We start from the raw sequence: 22,757 nt of genomic DNA on the forward strand, positions 1-22,757 counted from the left end.
TTTCGATGGGGACACCTAGAAACCATATCAAGTCCCCACAGAGCCCTGGCCTGGGCCTGACACCAGACACACAGCTCATGCTCAGTGCACACTGGCGTCGTGATCATAGCAGCTTCAGACTTGAGGATCCTGGGCCCTGACTTTGCTCACCAGGTCCCAGAATCAGGGCCACTTAGCAATGCACATCTGCCCCAAGATTCAGTCACATCCACAAGGAAGACCCATGTCTGTAATCAGTGAAGCCTCTGGGTGACCTGTGAGGTAGGGGAGGAGCCACCCACACTCCCAATTTACAGATGAGGAAACTGAGGCCCAAAAATGTCTCAGCAACATCTCAGAATCATAGCCTGTCCTGAGTTGGTGGAGTCCGCCCAGGACGTGGGTGTAGATGGTGTGGATTCAAATCTACATCCAGGATGTGGGTGTAGATGGTGTGAATTCAAATCCACGTCCTGCCTTTACAGCTGCCTGCCCTCCCTGGGCTCTGCCTCCTGCCTGGCCGACCCCTCCCGACCTCCACAGCCTGGAGTGCATGGGCACAGGCCGCAGGTTCGGGTGGGTACCACCACGAGCTCCCTGAACCCCAGATTCTCTCACATTTCAACACCGGTCACATCCACTGCTGGGCGGTGCCTGTGTCCCCCTCGCCGAGGGCCATACCCTTCCGCCTCTCACCTCGATTCCTAGTGCATGGCGCAGCAGCTTCTCGGTCGGTGTGCCAGGTGGATGATGTCTCAGATGCAGACACTGCATTTTACCAGGAGAATTCACTATCTGCTGAGCGTGGCTGGAATCACAGGTGCCTTCACGGTGGCTTTAGAGGGACTTTCCTCCCAGAGCTGCAGGGCAGCCACCAACAAGGCCAAGGGGCAGCCATGCCCAGCACCTACAGCAGAGCCCTGCGGGTTAGCTCCCCAAGGCCAGCATGGCCCCGTGGAAGGCACACATGGTGGGTGAGGGCGGAGGGGGCCACCTCACTGAGGAGCCCGCCCACTGGTGACGGCTGTCACCTCCCCTGGGTGGCCCTATTCCAGGCCCTGCAGAATGGCCTCTGAGCAGGGTAACTGGAAGCAAGAGGATGTGGCCAAACCCAGGCCCACCATGACCTCGAGGGCCCATGGCATGGAGCAGGCATTGAGGGCTCAGGGCCCGGGGAAGCACAGGATTTGCTCACAGGGAGGTCTTCACCCTCTGCGGTCTGGAGGGTGGAGCTTTGACGCCTGCACTTGCCAAGTTAGTGGCCCAGCTCAGCAAGGCACAACAGGATGAAGAAGGCCTCCGGTACTGCAGGTGTCACCGGGCACCTTGGCCGGCAGCCCAGACCCATCCTCCCGTCTGAGACGGAAACCAGGATCTTCCATCACCCACACTCCTGACCCTGCTCCCTCTACAGCCCCTCAAGTCCAGGTGAGTGAAGCCGCCTGGGGCAGGGCAGGGGACAGACGGGCCAGGATGAGATGAAGCGGCTTCCGAAATCAGGTTCGACATCGCACCCACCAGTTTCATTGCAGGCCTGGCTAAAAGCTGCCCCCTAGATATTCCGTCCAATTATTTAAATCCCAGCCTCTCCACTCACTATAAAGATTGGACAGGATTGGACATTTATTAGCTAACTGAATGGCTGTAATAAGATAGGAAATCCAAAGGAGCAGAAAATTAAATGTTCCTGAGTTATCTTATTGAAATTTCCCTTCCATGGCTTTTATTGGAGGCGACAGTGCCAGAATTTCAAAGACGCATTTTAAGAGACTCCTTTATGGGGTTCCCCAGCAAACGCTGAAGCCATCAACGTGAAACCAGCCAGTGAGTGTCGGGATGGACGGCCCGGGGCCGGGCAGAAACTCCAGCTCAGCTGTGTGGCTCTGCAGGCAGCAGATCGGCCCCCACTGCACCGTCTCCAGAGAACCAGAGCAAACGCCCATGTGCCCCGTTGACAGTACCGCGGATGAAGACACTGCATTGTACCAGGAGAGTTCACTGTTTTATTCATTGAATTTTGATTACGTGTTATCCTAAGGAGATACACTGATTTCATAAGCAAGGCAGGAAGAATAAACCGCAGGAGGAAGCTGCTGTCATTTCTCAGGCCCGGCTTCGTTTCAGGAAACAAGGGTTCTGCTCAAGCACAAGCACCGTTCCTGAAGTAGATGCATGGAAGTCATTAGGGGAGATGTCTGCAGCCCCTGAGATGGAAGAAGCCTGTCGGGAGCGGCCGCCGGGCTGAGGAGGGGCCTGGCCGCAGGCTGTGGGACTGTTTGAGGCCCTATGCAAAGGCAATGCTCCCCCTTGGAACAGGGCTTCTCGTGGGTGGGCGGGTGGTCCCTGCCAGGCTCCTGCGCCCCCCACCCACCCTTTCCAGGAAACTTGGCCCTATCCGTCATGACTGTTCCACATCCCCCGCAGACCATGTGCTATGAAAGATTTGAGCCCAGGTGTTCATTTATAAAGGTGACTGTGGAGAGAGAGGAAGGGTCAATGCTGTGGAGAGAGAAGGCCTTGTTACTCACAGATCCTCTAGAAACAATGGGCACAGCCCTCCCCACAGGGCCTCGGGGGAGGCACAGGGTCTGCAGGAGGCAGGAAGGAAGAGGAGAAGGCCCTGGCCACAGCCTTCAGTGGGGTTTTCTCAGGAGGCAGCTTATCTTTGGCTAGTTTGAATAATTGCGGCAGACCCTCAGGCATGGGGGCTGTCCCTAGTTGTCTGGTACCTGGTTCTGGAGAATGCGGGCTTGGTGTGTGACAGAGGAGGCAGGAGGGGTGCGGGCTCGGGAATGGTTGGTGTGCGTGTGAAAGGCAGACAGCCGAGCTCTATGGCTCATGCCTGTAGTCCTGGATACTCAGGAGGCCAAGGCAGGAGAATGGCTTGAGCCCAGGAGTTCAAGAACAGACTGGGCAACACAGTAAGATCCTGTCTCAAAAAAAGAAAGGCGGGCCAGTGCTTCACAGCGGGGGCAGAGCCCACCAACCTTGGGGGCACACCAGGTATGGCAGGAGAATGGAACATGGTCCCGGATTTTGTACTTGGTGTGGACAGCAGGTGCCTCTGTCCATTTCCCGTTGCTGTGATGACAAATTCCCACAAGCTGAGTGTCCTGACACAGAACTCTCACCTCACAGGGCAGATGGCCAGAGGGCCAAAGCAGCACCGGGCAGGTTCCTCTGGAGGCTCCGGGGAGCAGCGCTTCCCTGCCTTCCCCAGCTTCTGTGTTCCTGGGCTTGTAGCCCCTTCCCCATCTCTCAAGGTCATCCTCCTGGCTCTGCTTTTGTCTCCCGTAGCTCCTCCCCTGCCCCTCTATTTTTTTTTTTTGAGATGGAGTCTTGCTCTGTCGCCAGGCTGGAGTGCTGTGGTGTGATCTCGGCTCACTGTAAGCTCCGACTCCCGAGTTCAAGCGATTCTCCTGTTTCAACCTCCTGAGTAGCTGGGATTACAGGCACTCGCCACCACACCTGGCTAATTTTTGTAATTTTAGTAGAGACAGAATTTCACTATGTTGGCCAGGATGGTCTCAATCTCCTGACCTTGTGATCTGCCCACCTCAGCCTCCCAAAGTGCCGGGATTACAGGCATGAGCCACCACGCCCGGCACCCCGTCCCCTCCTTAAGGACCCCTGTGAACACATCAAGCCCATCTGGGTAATCCCGGACCACCTCCCATCTCAAGGTCCTCAACTAAGGCACTTCCACAAAGTCCCTTTTGCCTCATAAGGTAGCGTGGTCACAGGTTTTGGGAGTCACAATGTGGACAGCTTTGGTGAGCTATTATTCTGCCAGGCATTGGGCCGCACTGCAGTAAGGGCTGGGGCTGGAGAAATGTTTCAGAGAACAAGGCCCCTGAACAGCCTGTTTGAGGAAGGTCCAGGTGCTGGATACATGTGGAAGGGACCTAGAAACCCGTGTCTGTGTGTCTGCATTTAGGAAACTGTCCCAGCCAGCCCAGCAACTGTCTGTGTGTCTGCATTTAGGAAGACTGTCCCGGCCAGCCCAGCAAGAGAGAGAAAGTGAAATCCACAGAGGGTCGGAGCCTCAGGGGCCCACCCAGGGCCTGAGTACCCACTGCAGGAAGGTCTTCCCAGCTCTGCTGCCTCAGCCCTCAATGCCTTCTCCCCACCTGAACCCCCCAGAGCCCCTTAGTACATGACCTCACCTGACCACTTGTCCCTGAGGGAGGGGCCAGCCACATTGCATTCATTCTACCCCCAGTTCCCGGCACAGAGGAGCAGCCCGAGACATGTGTGTTCATTTGTGAGATGACTGACAGCCAAGTTTATTGTGGTCCAATTAGGTAAGACTCTGAATGCCGAGCTAAAGATTCAGGGATCTGTTTTGCGTGCAGTGCAGGGGCCACAGATGCTGTGTCAGCAGGAAAGCAACATGGCTTTCCAAAGCGAATTGGGAAACATGGATGCAGTCGGCTCCAAAGATGTGTGTAGTGTGTATGTGATAAGCATGGGATGTAGCCAGGGACAGACCCACAATCACAAGCAGTAACCAATTGTAACTGAGCACAAAGTTTCTGAGGCCAGCCCGGTGTGGTGGCTCACGCCTGTAATCCCAGCACTTTGGGAGGCCAAGGCTGGCGGATCGTGGGGTCAGGAGATCGAGACCATCCTGGCTAACACGGCAAAACCCCGTCTCTACTAAAAATACAAAAAATTAGCCGGGCATGGTGGTGGGCGCCTGTAGTCCCAGCTACTCGGGAGGCTGAGGCAGCAGAATGGTGTGAACCCGGGAGTCAGAGCTTGCAGTGAGCCAAGATCACACCACTGCACTCCAGCCTGGGCAACAGAGCGAGACTCCATCTCAAAAAAAAAAAAAAAGTTTCTGTGGCCACCTGAGGTCTGCAGGGGGACCACTGCCCAGGGAGCAGTGGTGGCCAGGGCGTGAGGATGGCCAGGGTGTGATGGTGGCCAGGGTTTGAGGGTGGCCAGGGCGTGACAGTGGCCAGGTTATTAGGTTGGCCAGGGCATAACGTTGGCCAGGGCATGACAGTGGCCACGGTGTGACAGTGGCCAGAGCATGATAGTGGCCAGGGTGTGACGGTGGCCAGGGCGTGACGGTGGCCAGGGCATGACGGTGGCCAGTGTGTGACGACGGTGGCCGGGGCGTGAGGGTGGTCAGGGTGTGAGGGTGGCCAGGGTGTGACGGTGGCCAGGGTGTGAGGGTTGCCAGGGTGTGACAGTGGCCAGGTTATTAGGTTGGCCAGGGCATAACGTTGGCCAGGGCATGACAGTGGCCACGGTGTGACAGTGGCCAGAGCATGATAGTGGCCAGGGTGTGACGGTGGCCAGGGTGTGAGGGTGGCCAGGGTGTGACAGTGGCCAGGGTGTGACGACGGTGGCCAGGGTGTGAGGGTGGCCAGGGCGTGAGGATGGCCAGGGTGTGATGGTGGCCAGGGTTTGAGGGTGGCCAGGGCGTGACAGTGGCCAGGTTATTAGGTTGGCCAGGGCATAACGTTGGCCAGGGCATGACAGTGGCCACAGTGTGACAGTGGCCAGAGCATGATAGTGGCCAGAGTGTGACGGTGGCCAGGGTGTGAGGGTGGCCAGGGTGTGACGGTGGCCAGGGTGTGACGACGGTGGCCAAGGTGTGACGGTGGCCAGGGTTTGAGGGTGGCCAGGATGTGACAGTGTCCCTGGTGTCTTATGAGGCCTCCCCACTCTGTCCCTGCATGGCCTCCTCCCTCTGCTTCTTGGTGTCTTCTCTTCTTCTTAGCAGGACATCAGTCATTGGATTTACAGTCCACCCTAAATCTGGGATGATTTCATCTCAAGATCTTGAACTAAACTAATTATATCTCAAATATTTCCAAGCGCAAATCCCGAGGTTTCTGATGGTTTCTGATGCTATTTTGTACAACACTATTCCGCCTGGCTATGTGACAAATAATAAGTCTAAGACCCTCCCCTCACTGACTGCACAGACCCCCCTCTTGACCAAGGGGACCCCAGAGGAACCTCAGCAGCCAAGCTCTTGGCCATGATGGGAGAGGTGGGACACACCCTGTTTTAACCTCTCCTTTGCTGACTGCCACTAGACTTCCTTCACTAAGGGCCAAGCAGAAGCCAGCCCCTTTGAAAGACTCCACCCCTGATATGAACCAACCTCCTGACGCTGCCCCAAAACAACCAGCCAGCGTTCCTTTCAAAGAGACTGACAACCACGGGGTGGCTCTGGCTGGTCTATGGAGGGTGTGCAGTGCGGGTTTCCGTGTCCTCTGCTTCCCTTTTACGTGTCAGTGGCCGAAAACTCCACCCTCGGATCACGCTAACATCATCACTTTGTGCACATGTGACTTGCGATGGGGCATGAAGTGCAATTGCACATATGCGTGTTTCTATTCTCATCAATATTCATGACTCCTCCTGTAGCTCATTGAATATGTATATTTGACCACCTTGGTCAACATAAATCCCTGTCTTATTCTTTTAATCCTCAAAGTGCCTGTTTCCAGCTTCTGGACAGAGGCTATGCTTCCCAGCCTTTCAGAATGGCTGCCTGCAGGCTGCAAGCCCTTAGAAGAGATACAATTCTCCTTGCCAAATGTATGAACCTCGTCATTCTTCAGTCATTAAACAGCTGACACTTACTGCTGCACCAAACAGCACTAAGAGTATGGTGTATCCAGGCAAGGAGAGGCCATTCGGTGCCCCCAGGTTACTCCGGAAAGGGTGAGAACTCCTTGTTCTCAACCCTCACACCCTGGCCACCATCACACCCTGGCCACTGTCACACCCTGGCCACCGTCACACTCTGGCCACCGCCACGCCCTGGCCACTGTTATACCCTGGCCACCGTCACACCCTGGCCACCGTCACACCCTGGCCACTGTTATACCCTGGCCACCCTCGTGCCCTGTAAGGGAAGGAGGAGGATGCAGTGCCCCGAATTCAATGCAACAGCCGCTAACTGCATGAGTTCTACCGAGAACTTTTATGAAGAAGTTGCCTCCATCTGACACCCACTCCAGCATTCTGTTGACGCCTGCTAAACCTGTCCACACTCTGGGCCAGGAAGAGTCATTCTTGCTTCGTGCACTACACAAGACATCTGTAAACCGGATACTCTTTTCCTCCCTTTAAAAAATAATTTCCCTCAACCGCCATACACAGACAATTTTACATTGAGGAGTGCCGGCCGTGAGGCAAGAAATGCTGAGTGTGAGTAGAAAAGGCAGATGTGAAATGATCCCCCAGCCACTGAGGTGCTTTCTGGAAAATGCAATCAAATACTTGATAACTTGCTAATAGTATGCTTATTAAACAAGCTGCCTTCATGTTTCTCAGAGAGCAAGAAAATGTACAAGAATTTGCAACACAATGGAAAATGGGAGATTATGAAAGCAGGCTGCTTGTTGTTAATATTTACAGCGCTTTACATTTCTAAAGGGTTCATGATCCTCTTTGAGCTCCTGCCCGCCCCTCCAGTGGCTGCAAAGCTTCCACTCTGAGGGTTTGAGTACTGATTATCCTCTTGCAGGAGCTCAGTTCTTACTCGCCCCGTCCCTGCCCAATCAGGACAATCCTGGGAGCCCAGGATCCCTGCCCTTGACTCTGACACTTGCCAGCAAGTTAGCCTCTGTGTACCTCAGTTTCCCTGTCCTAGAATTGGGAATGAAAATGGTGCTACTTCCTAAAGCTGTAAGGATGAGGCAGTGAGATCCTAAAAATGGGGAGAGCTCAGAAGAGCCTCTGACATGCAGTGAGCCTCCTCCATCAATGGTAGCAGGGAACTTTGCAGCTATGATGCACTGGGAAGAGGGCAGGCCATCGCCATTGGGCTGGGGTGCTCCCTGCAGTGTGGACAGCTGTGCTGTCCATCTGAGTGGGGGGTTACTGGCAGGAATCAGGTGCTGGGAATTGGCAAAGGGAGGGGCCAGTGCAACCAAAGGGATGATTGGCTGGGATCAGGGCCTCCAGGCTCTATCATTCACTCACTCATTTATTCACTCATTCATTTATTCACTCTTTCTGTTGTCTGAAAAAATGAGGGTTTTTTCACCTGCTGAGTAACAAATGACTCCACAAGGATGCAGGTTTTAATCAACAGGCACTTTGTTAACTCATAGCAAGGAAGGAGAGCCCTAGGTGTGTTCTCCACAGCAGTGTCTCCTGGAGGGACAGTGACAGGAGGGTTTTATGGGGCGATGGAGGGGACAGAGTGTGGTACGGCATTCAGAGGAGGGGTCCCAGTGGCACAGATGCAGCCAGTCCTCCTGCCAGCACACAGGTCCTATGTGGTGGTTATGATGCTGCAGCCCCCGCCAGGTGGAGACGTTGGCATGGCCATGAGCAAGGTTCCCTCGAGTTTGTCTGCAAGTTGCCTACATCTCTCAGGAGCTGCTTCCAACTGAGTAGGTGACCGCATTCCATGCAGGGTCTGGGAAGAAATGGGCTGCAAAGCAGAAGGCTGTAGAGCAGGCAGATTGCTCCAGTGGATTAAATTCCTATGGTGCCGGTGTCAGAGGCATGTGAACCAGAGCAACTCTATCTTAACAGGAGCTGGATAAAATGAGGCTGAAACCTCCTGGGCTGCATTCCCAGGTGGTGAAGGCATTCTAAGTCACAGGATGAGATAGGAGGTCAGCACAAAATACAGGTCATAAAGACCTTGCTGATAAAACAGTTTGCAGTAAAGGAGCCAGCTAAAACCCACCAAAACCAAAATGGCCACAAAAGTGACCTGTCATTGTCCTCACTGCTACACTCCCACCAGCACCATGACAGTTTACACATGCCATGGCAACATCTGGAAGTTACCCCATATGGTCTAAAAAGGGGAGGTATGAATGATTCACCTGTTGTTTAGCATATCATCAAAAAATAACCATAAAAATGGGCAACCAGCAGCCCTTGGGTCTGCTCTATGGAGTAGCCATTATTTATTCCTCTACTTTCTTAATCAACTTGCTTTCACTTTGCACTTCAGACTCGCCCTGAATTCTTTCTTATGTGAGATCCAAGAACCCTCCCTTGGGGTCTGGATCAGGACCTTTTCCTGAAACACCTGCAGACCCTCCCTGTCTGCTTATAATTCATCAGATATGCCAGGCACTCTACTAGACACACAATGTTAGAGGCGGAAAGCCCTCCATAGCCCAGCGGGTCCAGCCTCCCTCCCCTGAGCTGAGCCTTCCCCTCCCCCAAATTGCCAGCATTTTATAGATAGTAAATTGAGACTCACAGAAGCAGGTGACTGTCCCATGGCCAGATGTGGCAAGGTCAGCATGGGCCGAATCTTTACTGCTCTCTCCACCCACTGCCACCCCAAATGCAAGCCCCTGGTTATTCCATCCCACCAACGGAGGCTTTCTTTCAGAACCTATGTAAGCAAAGCTCCCTGGAACCTTTCCACCCTGCAACCTGCCCGTCACTGCCACCCCAACACGCATGCCCCACCCCCTAGACAGGAAGCCTCCATGATGAGCAGGGTCATGTCCTCAGGACCAGCACAGGGCCTGGAGCAGAGTGGACAGGCAAGGGGTGCCTATAAGATAAACACACAGAGGAACCAGTGCTCCTTATCTGCGTCTTCCTCCTCCTTGGGATTATTCTGAGCCAGGGTGTCACTGAGCTCTTAATAGGAGATTATCCCTCCTCCATTCTCATGTTTGACCCCCCTGAGTTGTGATGCCCCAAGCTGTGGCCCTCACTCAAGGTCATCCTCCCCGCTGACAGCAGCAACAGCAGCCGCCCACACCAGCCCTTTCAAGCTTCACAGCTGCCCGCTGCCCTCACAGGGGCGCCCTGATGCAATCAGAACTACTGTTGTTATCTCTGCTTTGTGGATGAGGAAACTGACACTCAGCCAGTCGCCTGTCCTAGGTTCACGCAGCAGCAGCCTCGACTCCAGCCTGGACCCACTGCCTCTGAATGCCCCCCTCCCTGCAGCCAATGGCTGCCTTTCCTACCTGATGCAAGGTCAGGACACACACCAGATCTAGCCGAAGGATTCAAATACCACGGCAGGTAATTTGATGTCCGCTGCCCTGTTTTAAGGCAATGCTATAAATTTCACACGGAAGCACAGACAGGAAGTGCAAATACGGAAAGAGGAAAGTTGCACCTGGTCTCAGGTGTTGGGTAGGAGTTGCAGGTAATGATGTGAGCTCATGGTTTTCAATCTACAGACATGCAAACAAATACACAGGTAAATGTGTGTGTGTCCATGCATACAGGTATCTCCAAACTTTTCTCACCAAGAAGTTCTGACAACAGTGACATCTCAGCAAAAATAAGCACACACATTGCCCACATTGTATCCGATTGCCATTTTCCACTAGCAATACCAGGGCTCCTTGGAGAAATAGTTAATTCCGGGGCTGAGGCAGGGAAAGAACAAGATGAGGCTGGATGGGTCAGAAAGCAATTACTCAGTGAATGATGGGAACATGTCAGAAAGACACATAAAAGAACTCTGTCTCCAGGGACTGAATTTATACATGGAGGCTTCCTGTCTAGGGGATGGGGTGTGCATGTTGGGGTGGCAGTGATGGGCAGCTTGAAGGGTGGGAAGGTGCCAGGGAAGTTTGCTTACATAGTCTCTGAAAGAAAGCCTCCATCTATGGGATGGAGTAACCGGGGGTTTGCATTAGAGGTGGGTGGCATAAAACAATTTTTTAAATGACAAAATATGTGAAACAATGCTTTGTAGAACGCTTGACATTGGCCAACAAGAGAGTGATCCCGAGCAATGGGAAACAGATGAGGAGGCCCTGGGATTGCTCCAGCTTACAGGTCAGAGAGTTGCCAGGCCACAGTTCAGGGAGGAGGAGCCCAGTCACAGCCCAGTGGGCTCCTGAATTGAGGAGACAGCGCAGAGTCTGGGGAACCAAGGGTGGCTGGTGTTCACTGGAAGAGCGACAGAGAGGAGAGAGCTGCCCAGAGAGCATTGCAGATACCTGCAGGGGCCCCGGACTACCTGGTTGGATCAGCATCGGCCTGTGAATAGGAGGACACAGTCAGAGGCCAGGGAAAGAGGCACCAAGGGGATTAAAGGTGACCATGACCTGTGCACACGCAGAACCATGAAGAGTGCCCGTCCCACCAGCCCAGCTGGGAAAACTCGTTTTTCACCACACATGGGGTTAATACGCAGAAGGCTCTTAGCTCACTAGTGGAGGATAATTAGCTCTGGACCAAGCACTATTCTGATTCCCAGCTAACAAATCTTAAAAGCAAGACTTGAAAGGTTCAGGCTGTTTCAAGTAACTTAACTGCATCCCAGAAAAAAAAAAAAAAAAGAAAGCGCAAGAACATTTCTAGGAATACAAAATATTCAGCATCAAACAAGGTAAAATCCACAATGCTTGGCATTCAACCAAAAATTACCAGGTGTGCAAAGAACTGGGAAAATATGACCCAGGATGAGGAGCTAAACAGCCAAAACTAACACTCAAAACGACACAGATATTAGAATTAGAGAGAAAAACATTGAAAGAGTTACTGTAACTGCATTCCATATGTTCAAGAAGATAATTACATATGTTCATGGAAGATGAAAAACATAAAGTTCCCAAATTGAACATCTAGAGATGAAAACTACATCACTTGAGAGGAAACAATAGTGGGTGAGATTAAAGGTAGAAGGAAAAGTGAGTAAGCATGAAGACATGGCAATGGAAGCTATCCAAAATAAAACACAGAGGAAAAAATAATTTAAAAATGAACAGAGCATCAGTGAGCTATGAAACAGCTTCAAGCAACCTCATATAGGCATAATTTGAGTCCCTGAAGGAGAAGAGGATTATGTGGGACAAAGAGAAAGAAAAGATGTTTGATGAAATCTTCCAAATGTGATGGCAACTGTAAACCCACAGATCCAAGAAGCTCGGTGAACCCTAAGCACAAGAGAGATGAAGAAAACTGCCCAGGCACAGTGGCTCCTATCTGTAATCCCAGGGCTTTGGGAGGCCGAGGCAGGAGGATTGCTTGAGTCCAGGGGCTTGAGACCAGCCTGGACAACATAGCAAGACCCCATCTCTATAAAAAGTTAAAAAATTAGGCTGGGGTGGTGGTGTGCACCCGTAGTCCCAGCTACTCAGGAGGCAGAGGCAGGAGGATCCCTCAAGCACAGGAACTCGAGGCTATAGTGAGTTTTAATCGTGCTACTTCACTCTAGCTTGGATGGCAGAACAAGACCCTGTCTCTAAAATAAATTTTTTTTTAAATAACACCAAGGCACACCATAATCAATTTTCTCAAAGTCAGTAATAAAGAAAAAACCTTAAGAGCAGGCAGAGGAAAAAAAGACATGTTTTACACAAAGGACCAAAAAGTAATATAAAGCAAATTTCTTATCCCAAATGATGCAAGCTGGCAATTTCTCATCAGAAATAATCTAAACAAGAAGCTATGTCCTCAAAGTACTGAAAGAAAAATGGCCAGTCCAGAATTTTATACCCATTAAGTATACCATTAGTACCAATATTTCTGCTCTTACCTCTTCTATTCAACTTTTTACTAGCTAATGAAATAAGCCAATGAAAAGAAACAAATAGTACCCCAGGTTGAATAGGAAGATATAACACTGTCTTCACACACAGACAACATGATTGTCTTCTGTAGAAAATCCAGTGAAATCTCCAAAAATGACCCTACTAGAATTAGAGAGTGTAGCAAGGTTTCAAGATGATTGTAGGTATGCACATTAGTAACAATCAAATTTTGAAATAAAAAAATGCTGTTTACAATAGTATAAAAAGTATCAGAAACTTCGAGGTAAATCTGACAAAAGATGTGAAATACCTACAAACTGAAAACTACAAAACATTGCTGAAAGAAATTAAAGGAGACATAAATAAATGGAGAGATAAAGCATGATCATTTATTGAAAGACTCAATATTGTTCAGATGTCAATTCTTCCCAAATTGACACATAGATTATATACAATACCAATCAAATATTCCAGCAGATTTTTTGTAGACATTGACAAACTACTTTTAAAATTCCTATGGAAATGCAAGAGACTAGAACAACTCAACAACTTCACAAAAGAATCACATGGCAGGACAACTAGCATCTTCTGATTGCAAGAATTAGGATAAAGCTATGGTAAATAAGACAATGTGGTATTGGCATAAAGTTGGACAAATCTATCATGAAACAGAATGGAGAATCTAGAAGAGACACACAAATATGTGAACAATTGGTTTTTTACGAAGATGTAAAAGCAATTCAATGCAAAGGGATAATCTTCTTCACAAATGGTGCTGGAAAAACTGGATATGCATTGCAAAGAAATGTACTTCAATCCATACCTCTCATGATAGAAAAGGTTAATTCAATACACAGCTGTAAATTGAAAAACTTCTAGAAGAAAACAAAGAAGACGTTTGTGACCCCGAGTTAGGCTAAATGTTCTTAGACATGAAGCCAAAAGCATAATCTAAAAAAAGTTAAACTAAAATGTCTGATTTTGTGAATCCACTATTAAGAGAATGAAAAGGCAAGCCACGAACTGGGAGAAAATATTTGCAAATCATATATCAGACAAAAGACATGTCTCCGGAATCCACGAAGAACTATCAAAAATCAAGAAAATGAACTAATTTTTTTAGAGGCCAAAAACTTCAACCACAAATACTTCACAAAGAAGCTATACAGAAGAAAAGTACGTACAAATGTGCTCAGCACCACTGTCATTAGGGAAATGCAAATTAACAACTAAAAGATCCTCCTGCATACATACTAAAATAGCCAAAATTTAAAAGACTGAGGCAGGCATGGTGGTTCACGCCTGTAATCCCAGCACTTTGGGAGGCCGAGGCGGGCAAATCACTTGAACCCAGGAGTTCCAAACCAGCCTGGGCAACATGGTGAAACCCCATCTCTACAAAAAATACAAAAATTAGCCAGGCATGGTGGCGTGCACCTGTAGTCCCAGCTACTCAGGAGGCAGAAGTGGGAGGCTCACCTGGGCCTGGGTGGTTGAGGCTGCAGTGAGCTGTGATCACACCACTGCACTCCAGCCTGGACAACAGAGTGAGACCCTGTCTCAAAAAAAAAAAAAAAAAAAAAGAATAACCTTACCAAATGCTGAGGATGATGTGGAAAAACTGGAACTGATGGAAACTAGAACTAGAAACTCTTGGAAACAGTTTTGTTGGTTTTTTAAATGGTAAACTCACACCTTCCGTACTGTCACTGAATGACAAAGGATCCTGTCATTCCACTCCGAGGTACTTATTTGCCAAAAAATAATGTAGCCTATCTCCTTCAGAGACTTGTACATGGATATTCACAGTAGCTTTATTTCATAATACTCGGTCCTACTTCAATCAAGCTGGGGTTTTTTAAATCATTTTTAAGAGATGAGGTCTCACTGTGCTGCCCAGGCTGGTCTTGAACTCAGGCAAGCTGTTATTTTTGCAGAAAGACACAAAAGTCAGCTTGAGGGATCTCCCACCAGCCAGATTTGGGACAATATGAGCATCAAAGTAAATTGTGATAGTGGTTTATTAGAGTCCTTTGAATAACACCTCAAACCCTGAGCCCATACTGATATAAATAAATAAATAAATAGCAGAGAATTTTATTTATATAAATAGCAGATAAATTTATATAAATAGATAAATTTATATAAATAAATAGCAGAGAAACTTATTTATATAAATAAATAAATAGCTGAGAAATTTATTCCTTATAGAAAGATGTCAAATAATAAATATAAAAGAAATGATAAAATTAGAAAATCACTATCGGGCCAGGCATGGTGTAGCTCACGCCTGCAATTCCAGCACTTTGGGAGGCCAAGGCAGGTGGATCACCTGAGTTCAGCAGTTTGAGACCAGCCTGGCCAACATGGTGAAACCCTGTCTCTACTAAACATACAAAAACTTAGCCAGGCACAGTGGTGGGCTGTAATCCCAGCTACTAGGGACGCTGAGGCATGAGAAACACTTGAACCCAGGGGGCGGAGATTGCAGTGAGCCGAGATTTCACCATTGCACTCCAGCCTGGGCGACAAGGAGACTCTGTCTCAAAAAAAAAAAAAAAAAAAAAATATATATATATATATATATATGTATATATATACATTAAAAAATTAAAATAAAATCACTATTTATTAACCTATATAGCAACAAGCAACTCAAGCAAGAATTATCACAGGATGGCAAAACGAATGGGTGAAAGAGAGATAGGAAATAGCATTCCCTGTGCTCTCATGGTTATCTCCCCCCAGAATACTTATAATTTGCCAAACAAACAAACAAAACACCCAATAACCTTATAGGAGAGAAACCTGGCAGACATTATCAAGATTAAATAATGCAACAGATTACCCATTCAGTGGTGAGATATTCACCCTCCCTTTGAACATGGATTGGTCTGTGTGACTACCTGGACCAATAGAGTGTGGTGCAAGGAACACCAGAGGGTAGGCCATAAAAATGTCTGGCACTTCCCCTTCATTTTCCTAGGACATAGACTCCAGGGAAGCCAGCTGCCAGGCAAGGAGGCCAGCAAACCTGAAGATGTTTTCCCACATGCTACAAGAAAGCCCAAACTGATCTACATGGGAGAGATCCTAAGACTAAGAAGAGAAAACCATCTAGCCACCAGTTCCAGTCTCTATCTCACTGTAACCATGCGTGTGATCCTGCATCTGAACTCACAGCCATTACTGAATTCTTGACACATTGAAACCATCATGATCATAAAATGGTTGTTTTATGCTGTTAAGTGTTGAAATGGTTTTGTTGAACAGCAATAGCTAACTGGAACAGTGACAAAAGTTAACATAACTAATAATAGGAAAAATCAACCTCTCATGACACCTGATGGGATGCAATGACAACCATATATCACAGAATACTGAGTATTCTGTCCAAAGATACATAACCTGGGCCCACTCAGGAGGAAGTATCAGACAATCCCAAATGAACCTTCAAAAATACCAAAGACATGAAAGTCAAGGAAAAACTGAGAAACTGAGAAAGATACTAAAGAAGACAAGAAACTCAGTGCATCATCCTGAATTAGATCCTTTTGCCATAAGGAACATCATTGGGACAACTGGTGAGGCATGAATAGGGTCTCCGAGTGAAGGGTACTATTTTTTGCAGCTTTTTCTCTAAGTTTGAAGTTGTTTCAAAATAGAAAAAAAAATACATGGCCATATGCTATGCTTTAAACATGTCCCATCCAAAACTTAGATGTTGCCCATATGATATTTTCACAGGGTGGGGCCCCTAAGAGGTGATGAGGCTGTGAGGGCTTCTCCTTTGTGATGAGTGAGATTAAGGCCTTTATAAAAAATGGCTCATACAGCATTCAGACATTTTCTCTTCCACTTTCTGCCATGTGAGGAACACAGAGTTATTTCCCTCCAGAAGATGCAGCTCTCACCAGACAACCTACTAGCACCTTGATCATGGACTTCTCAGCCTCTGGAATGGTGAGAAACAAATTTTTCTTATAAAATGCCTAGTCTCAGGTATTCTGTTATAGCAGCACAAACAACCTGAGACAGAAATTGTTACCAAGAGTGGGGTGTTCCTATAACAAATAACTAAAACTGTGGAATGGCTTTGGAACTTGGTAATGGGTAGAGGCTGGAACAGTTTTGAAGCCATTGCTGAAAAAGTCTATATTACTGTGAACAGAACATTAAGGGCAATTCTGATGAGGGCTCAGAAGAATAGGAGAGCTATAAGGAAAGCTTCATTCTTCTTAGAGACCACTTAAATAGTAGTGAACAGAATATTGGTAGTAATCATGACAGTAAAGGTCATTCTGATGAGGTCCTAGGTGGAAATGAGGACTAGCTTATTGGAAATGGGAAGAAAGGGCATTCTTATTATAAAGTGACAAAGAACTTGGCTGAATTATGTTCATGTTTTAGGACTCTGCGGAAGGCAAAACTTAAAAGCAACAAACTAGGATATTTGATGGAAGAAATCTCTAAGCAGCAAAGTGTTCAGGAATCTGCATGGCTTCTCTTAACTTCTTATAGTAAAATGTGAGAAGATAAATCATTTAAAAATTGAATTTATGGTTAAAAGGGAAGCAGAATGCAAAAATTTGGAAAATTCTCAGCCTGCCCATGTAAAGAATAAAAAGTGTGTTTAGGAGAGAAAATCAAGGGTGTGGCCTAGCAACTGTTTGATAAGGAGATTAGGAAAAGGAAGCCAAGTGCTGCTATTCATCAAGGCAATGGGAGAATGACCCTGAAGGCATTTCAGAGAGCTTCAAGGCTACCATGCCCGTCAGGCTGCCATGCCATGCCTGAAGGCATTTCAGAGAGCTTCAAGGCTGCCATACCCTTAATACCAGGGTCTTAAGGGCAGAAGAGTTTCCAGGCAAGGACACCTCATCTGCTCCCTGCTCTTCAGCTGCTCAGCAATGGCTCAAGCGGACCTAAGTACACTAGGGCCATGGCTCCAGAAGTTATAAGCTTCTGGTGGCAGTGTCCACATGCTACTAATGCTGTATGTGTGCAGAGTGCAGGAGCTATGGCAGCATGGCCTCCACAGAGTCCCAACCAGGGCAATGTTCAACCAAACTGTTGAGTCAGGGCTGCTGCAGAGAGCCCCTACTCAAGCAATGCTTAGTGGAGCCATGGGGCCAGGGTTGCCCACAAGATCCCAGACCTGTGGAGCCACCAGCAGGCAACTAACTCTAGCCTGGGAGTGCTGCCAGCACCTGACACCAACCCGTGAGGCCTGCTATATGGGCTTTGCCCAGCAAAGCCATGAGGGTGTGGCTGCCTGAGGCCTTCAGGGTTCAACTCCCACCCCCGTGCATCCAAAAAGTGGGACAGGGAGTTAAAGATTATTCTCCAGCCTCAAGATTTAATGTTGTTTGCCTTGTTTGGTTTTGGATTTACTTGAGCCCCATTATTCCTTACTTCCTGCCTATTTCTTCCTTGTGCGATGGAAATATTTATCCTATGCCTGTCCCTACACCATTGTATTTCAGAAGCACATAACTTGTTTGATTTCACAGGTTCACAGCTGGAGAGCAGTTTTCCTTGAGGTGATGTCTAGATGAGACTCTGGGCTTGAGGCTTTAAAGTAGATGCTGGAATAAGTTAAGACTCTGAGGGCTATTGAGATGGAATGATTATATTTTGCATGTGAGAATATGAATTTGGTGGGGGGAGAGGGATAGAATGCTATTGTTTGAATGTGTTTCTTCCAAAATTCAGGTGTTGGCCATGTGATAGTATGAGAAGGCAGGGCTTTTAAGAGGTAATTAGGCCATGAGGGCTGCTCTCTCATGAAACGGATTAAGGCCCTTCTAAAAAAAGCTTCATGCAGCATTCACTGTCCCTACCACTTTCCGCCACGTGAGGATGCAGTGTTCCTCCTTTCCAGAAGATGCAGCCCTCACCAGATGGCCTGCCAGCACCTTGACCTTGGACTTCCCAGCCTCCAGAGTTGTGAAATATAAATTTCTGTTGTTTATAGGTTATCCAGCCTCAGGTCTTCCATTACATGAACTAGGATGCCTCATTTTGCTAAATTTTGATAGAAGGGCTTGTGTGTGCTCAAGGCTCAGAAAAGAAGGTCATTTCTACCTCACTCAGGGTTCTTTCTCCCAGCCTTGGGTATTCATCAGGCAACAAGGCTCCATTTAGACACTGGGACAGAAGAAATGCCACAGCTCCATTAGGAAGCTGGCTCGGCCACAAAGGTCACAGGTGGCTAATCAGGGAAAAAGGCATGTTTGGGGGAAAGGAGCCTTCTGAGGTCATCATTTTGCATATGGTTGTTAATAATGCAAGAGTGAGTCTATTAAACTGAGTAAAAGGTAACTTTGGCCCATGGGAAAGGACCATTATGCAAATTCAGGCAGAGAAAAGCTTTTTAAAATGCACATATTTAACTAAAGCATCCAGAGCTCTGGTCATTAGTTTCTTTTAAAAATGTCCCCAAGAAAGCATTGTTTGCACCAGTTGCCACTGAACAGAAAGCCAGGATTTGGATTCCAACGAACCAGGGCACTGGCTCTAAATTGTTGGTGTATCCACTGTGGGACATTGAGGATGCTTCTCAAAGTCTCTGAGACACAGTGTTCTCACCAGTGAAACATATTTTTCAGACTTAATGTTCTTTCGGAATTGTAGTTAGCACAGGCCTCAGGATGGAGCTGTCCACAGATGTGCAGTGCTGAGGCCCTGGCATAAATGGGCCCTCTCGAAACCTCATCTCTGGTATCCACCTGCACCATCCTAGCTGTGGGTAGCAGGATGTCTGTTCTGCAGCCATGGAAACAGCCCTCAGAAAAGCAATTAGTGCACAGGTGTGCACTTTAGATCTGCGATATTATGAAATTATTTATAACTGTAAAAGCAATTAGTCTACATAATGGACTAATCACTTACTGGAATTTGGGATTCTTTTGGATTTCTATGTAACACGCATGTATCCAGCACAATCTAGTTTTATAAATGCCAATAATTAAATCAACTCCAATTTTATTTCAATTAGATTGAGTACAACTATCATAGTAGATTTGGAAATTGCCGTGTGTGTGTGTGGAGTGGGGTGTGTGTTTCTTCCTTCTATCTGCTAGTTCAAAAAAGTGAAGTTAAATGAGAATATACTGAGGTAAATAATATTGTTGTTGGTAACTTTTCATAGGACTGGTATTATCTTCATTTTACAAACAAGGGCCTATTTTAGAAAGGTCAAGGCTAACCTTAAAAATTGTTGAGTGCCTCCTATGAACCAGAAAATGTGTACTGTATCACCTAATTTATATGACAGCAAAAATACATATTTATATATTTACCGATAAAGAAACCTGGTCACAGAGAGGAAAATGAGAGCTAACAAAAAATCGTGACTGGTCACTACGTAAAGTGAATATGTTACTTTTTAACATCTGTAACAATTCTAGGAGAAAAGTTATTTCCCAATGTCAGATGAAAAACCAGAGGGTCAGAGATGTTGAGTAACTCACCCAGATTTATCCACAGTAAGTGAGAGATCCAGGTTTTAGACCCAAACCTGTCTGGCTTGAAAGCTGAGAATCTTCCTGAGTTGCTACAGCAACTCCAGGCTGCCCCAGGAAGCGGCCTCCCCTGAGCTGTCCTTCCATGTGGACACCACTCTGTCCACTCAAAGAACTCAGACTCCCCCAGCATTCGGCTCCCATAACATCATGGCTTCCCTAGCCCTTCACGCAGGTAAAATATGATAACCTCATAGCCACTGGGCCTGAACAGAGTGCAGGTGTCATTCTTGCCTGTCATTCCTGCATCAGCCCACTCTTCCTCCTCCATTAAATACCCCAGTTTTGAATTCCATGTATCTGACTCCTTCTCCTGCCACCATTCCTTGCAGCTATCTACTACTCCCTCACTCCCTCTCTCGTCTTTCTCAAAGACCTTAGGTCCTCTCTCACTCCCACTCTCCACAATTACTCCTGCTGTTATTCTTGGTCATATCAATGCCCAGACAAGCGACCTGCCAACACCCTCCTGGGTCCTTGTTCTCAACCTGTCTGGTCTTCTGCTCTCCTTGGTCCTTCTGAGTCCATGTAATGACAATATCTGCAATACCTCCTTAACAGCCATGTTATAGATCCTGCTCTCAGAGTACAATCTACAGTTCTGCCTGCTTGTTCCCCTTCACATCTCTAATCTAACAGTCGTCAGTCTCACTGGGACCTTGACTCATGATACCTCTCCTTTTGTCTTTCCTCTGCCCCCTCAGGTCTTCACTTTCCTCGTTGCACAGCTGATATTTCATGTCAGACAGTGTAACCATTCCCTGGCTGCTTCCCCTGCCTAGAAGACTGACATCCCCCAATACCCCCACATCTCACTTCCTTCAGGTCTTTGCTCATAGATCATATTTCAGAGAAACCATCCCAGCCACCCCACCCAAAACTCAGCCCAACAGCTCCTGCTCACCTTCCATACTTTCCATCTCCTGAAATGTACATCCACCTCACACTATATTATATTCTCTTAGCACACAGTGGGCACCCAATAATTCTTGAATAAACTCCCTGCACTTTGTGCCCACATCGTTGGCACCTGTTTATAAATTGTTCGGAACATTTCTCTGATTTTATTGAAACTATTAACTCACATAGCCAATGACCCATGTCCCATTCATCTCTGTATCCCATGGGCTAGCAGTGACCAGGCAGAGTAAGAACCCAGCCAATATTTGTTAAGTGAATGAATGAAGGAAGGCTGGCTGAAAGCTGCTATGTTGCTTAGCACAGCACATGAGGTGCCTGAGAAACTGATGTCTTATACTGCTTAGGGACTTTGTGTAGAGCTTGGGCATGGAGCAATTTGTTTTATTCTAAAATATATGGTCAAAAGCCCACTTGTCTCCTTCTGGTACCACTCTCTACTCTGACACGTCCTTCTCACAGTCTCAGCATCCCCCACACAAGCTCGTCACCACCCCATAATATCCCCTCTTCTTCCTTAATCACCTCCAAATCTAGCCCACCCTCTCAGGATCATGATGCCTCTCCTGACATAATAAATGGGAGGGCTGCTAACAAGAATGGAGAACAGTGGAGCTTTGCGTGTTTCTGTTTTATAGATTTCATCTGGAGCCCTTATTCCCTGTGTGCAGGTAGGTCTCAGCATGCTACGGAGCCCTTAAATTGCTCTGTGTCCCGAGTGGATGATGGTCCTCCGACATCTTGGACCTAAGTTCACTATTCAGGCCTCCCAGGATTATCATCAGCACATCCAAACAAGACACGCACTCCAGATCCAGAGTCAGCAAAGACCATGAACGCAACCTCTCTCTCCCACCCAGGCTAAGGGGGATCAAAGAGGGCTATCGCTGGGAGGACGGGAGGGCGGGTGTTATCACCAAAGGCTTCAAAGAGAGAGAACAGGGGAGAAAAGCAGAGAACAGCAAACCAGGAAACATGGAAGTTTCCCTGCTTTTAAATCTAGGCATCTGGCGTGCTTGCCCCCAATCCCATCACTCGCCTCTTCCTGAGCCTACTCAACAAGTGTTACTATTGATAAGGAAAATGATACATTCACACTTTAAATAATAACTGAAATTTGTATTTATTGTCAAGGCAGTTTTACACTCACGATCGCATTGACCTGTCATAACACACCAGAGGACGGGTACCACCCTCATTCCAATCGCACAAATGAGAAACTGAGGCTTGGATACATCATCCAGTGGTTTGCTCTGTGTCATCCAGGTGGTAGCTGGAATTAGAACCCCAGTTTTGCAGGCTGCGTATGGTGGCTCATGTCTGTAATCCCAGTACTTTGGGAGGCTGAGGTGGGTGGATCACCTGAGGTCAGGAGTTCAAGACCAGCATGGTGAAACTCCATCTCTACTAAAAATACAAAAATTAGCCAGGCATGGTGGTATGTGCCTGTAATCCCAGCTACTCGGGAAGATGAGGCACGAGAGTCGCTTGAACCTGGGAGGTGGAGGTTGCAGTAAGCTGAGATTGCGCCACTGCACTCCAGGCTGGGTGACAGAGTGAGACTCCCTCTCAAAAAAAAAAAAAAAAAAAAAAAACAGGTTAGTGACACCTGACCCGGCGCCCTTTCCCCAGCAGGCTGTAGCCACATAGCCCACTCAGTGCCATCTGCAAAAAACAGGCTGTGCCCCACTGAAAGCAGGCTCTGCCCCGCAGCCCCCCCCCGGAAAATCACTGGATGCCCCTGGCCAGCCACTGCGGACCAACGTGCAGCTTCCTCGTATGGATCCCCTCTTTGTTCACAAGTTACTCCATTAAAGGGAAAGGTTAGATAAATGCTGTGCTTTGAGTCAATGGAGCCAATCTTTCTTTTCCCACTGGC

General features: G+C 47.8%; 1 annotated feature.

The window, feature by feature from the left end:
* Positions 7,737 to 8,237: an enhancer, noted in NCBI's record as "H3K4me1 hESC enhancer chr22:47803821-47804321 (GRCh37/hg19 assembly coordinates)". NCBI's record gives its function as "activates a minimal SCP1, AML or CMV promoter by ChIP-STARR-seq in naive H9 embryonic stem cells {active_cell/tissue: H9 hESC(naive)}" and the evidence as "EXISTENCE:reporter gene assay evidence [ECO:0000049][PMID:30033119]".

The sequence above is a fragment of the Homo sapiens genome, chromosome 22 (assembly GCF_000001405.40).
Source record: "Homo sapiens chromosome 22, GRCh38.p14 Primary Assembly".
In the NCBI taxonomy this organism is placed as follows: Eukaryota; Metazoa; Chordata; class Mammalia; order Primates; family Hominidae; genus Homo; species Homo sapiens.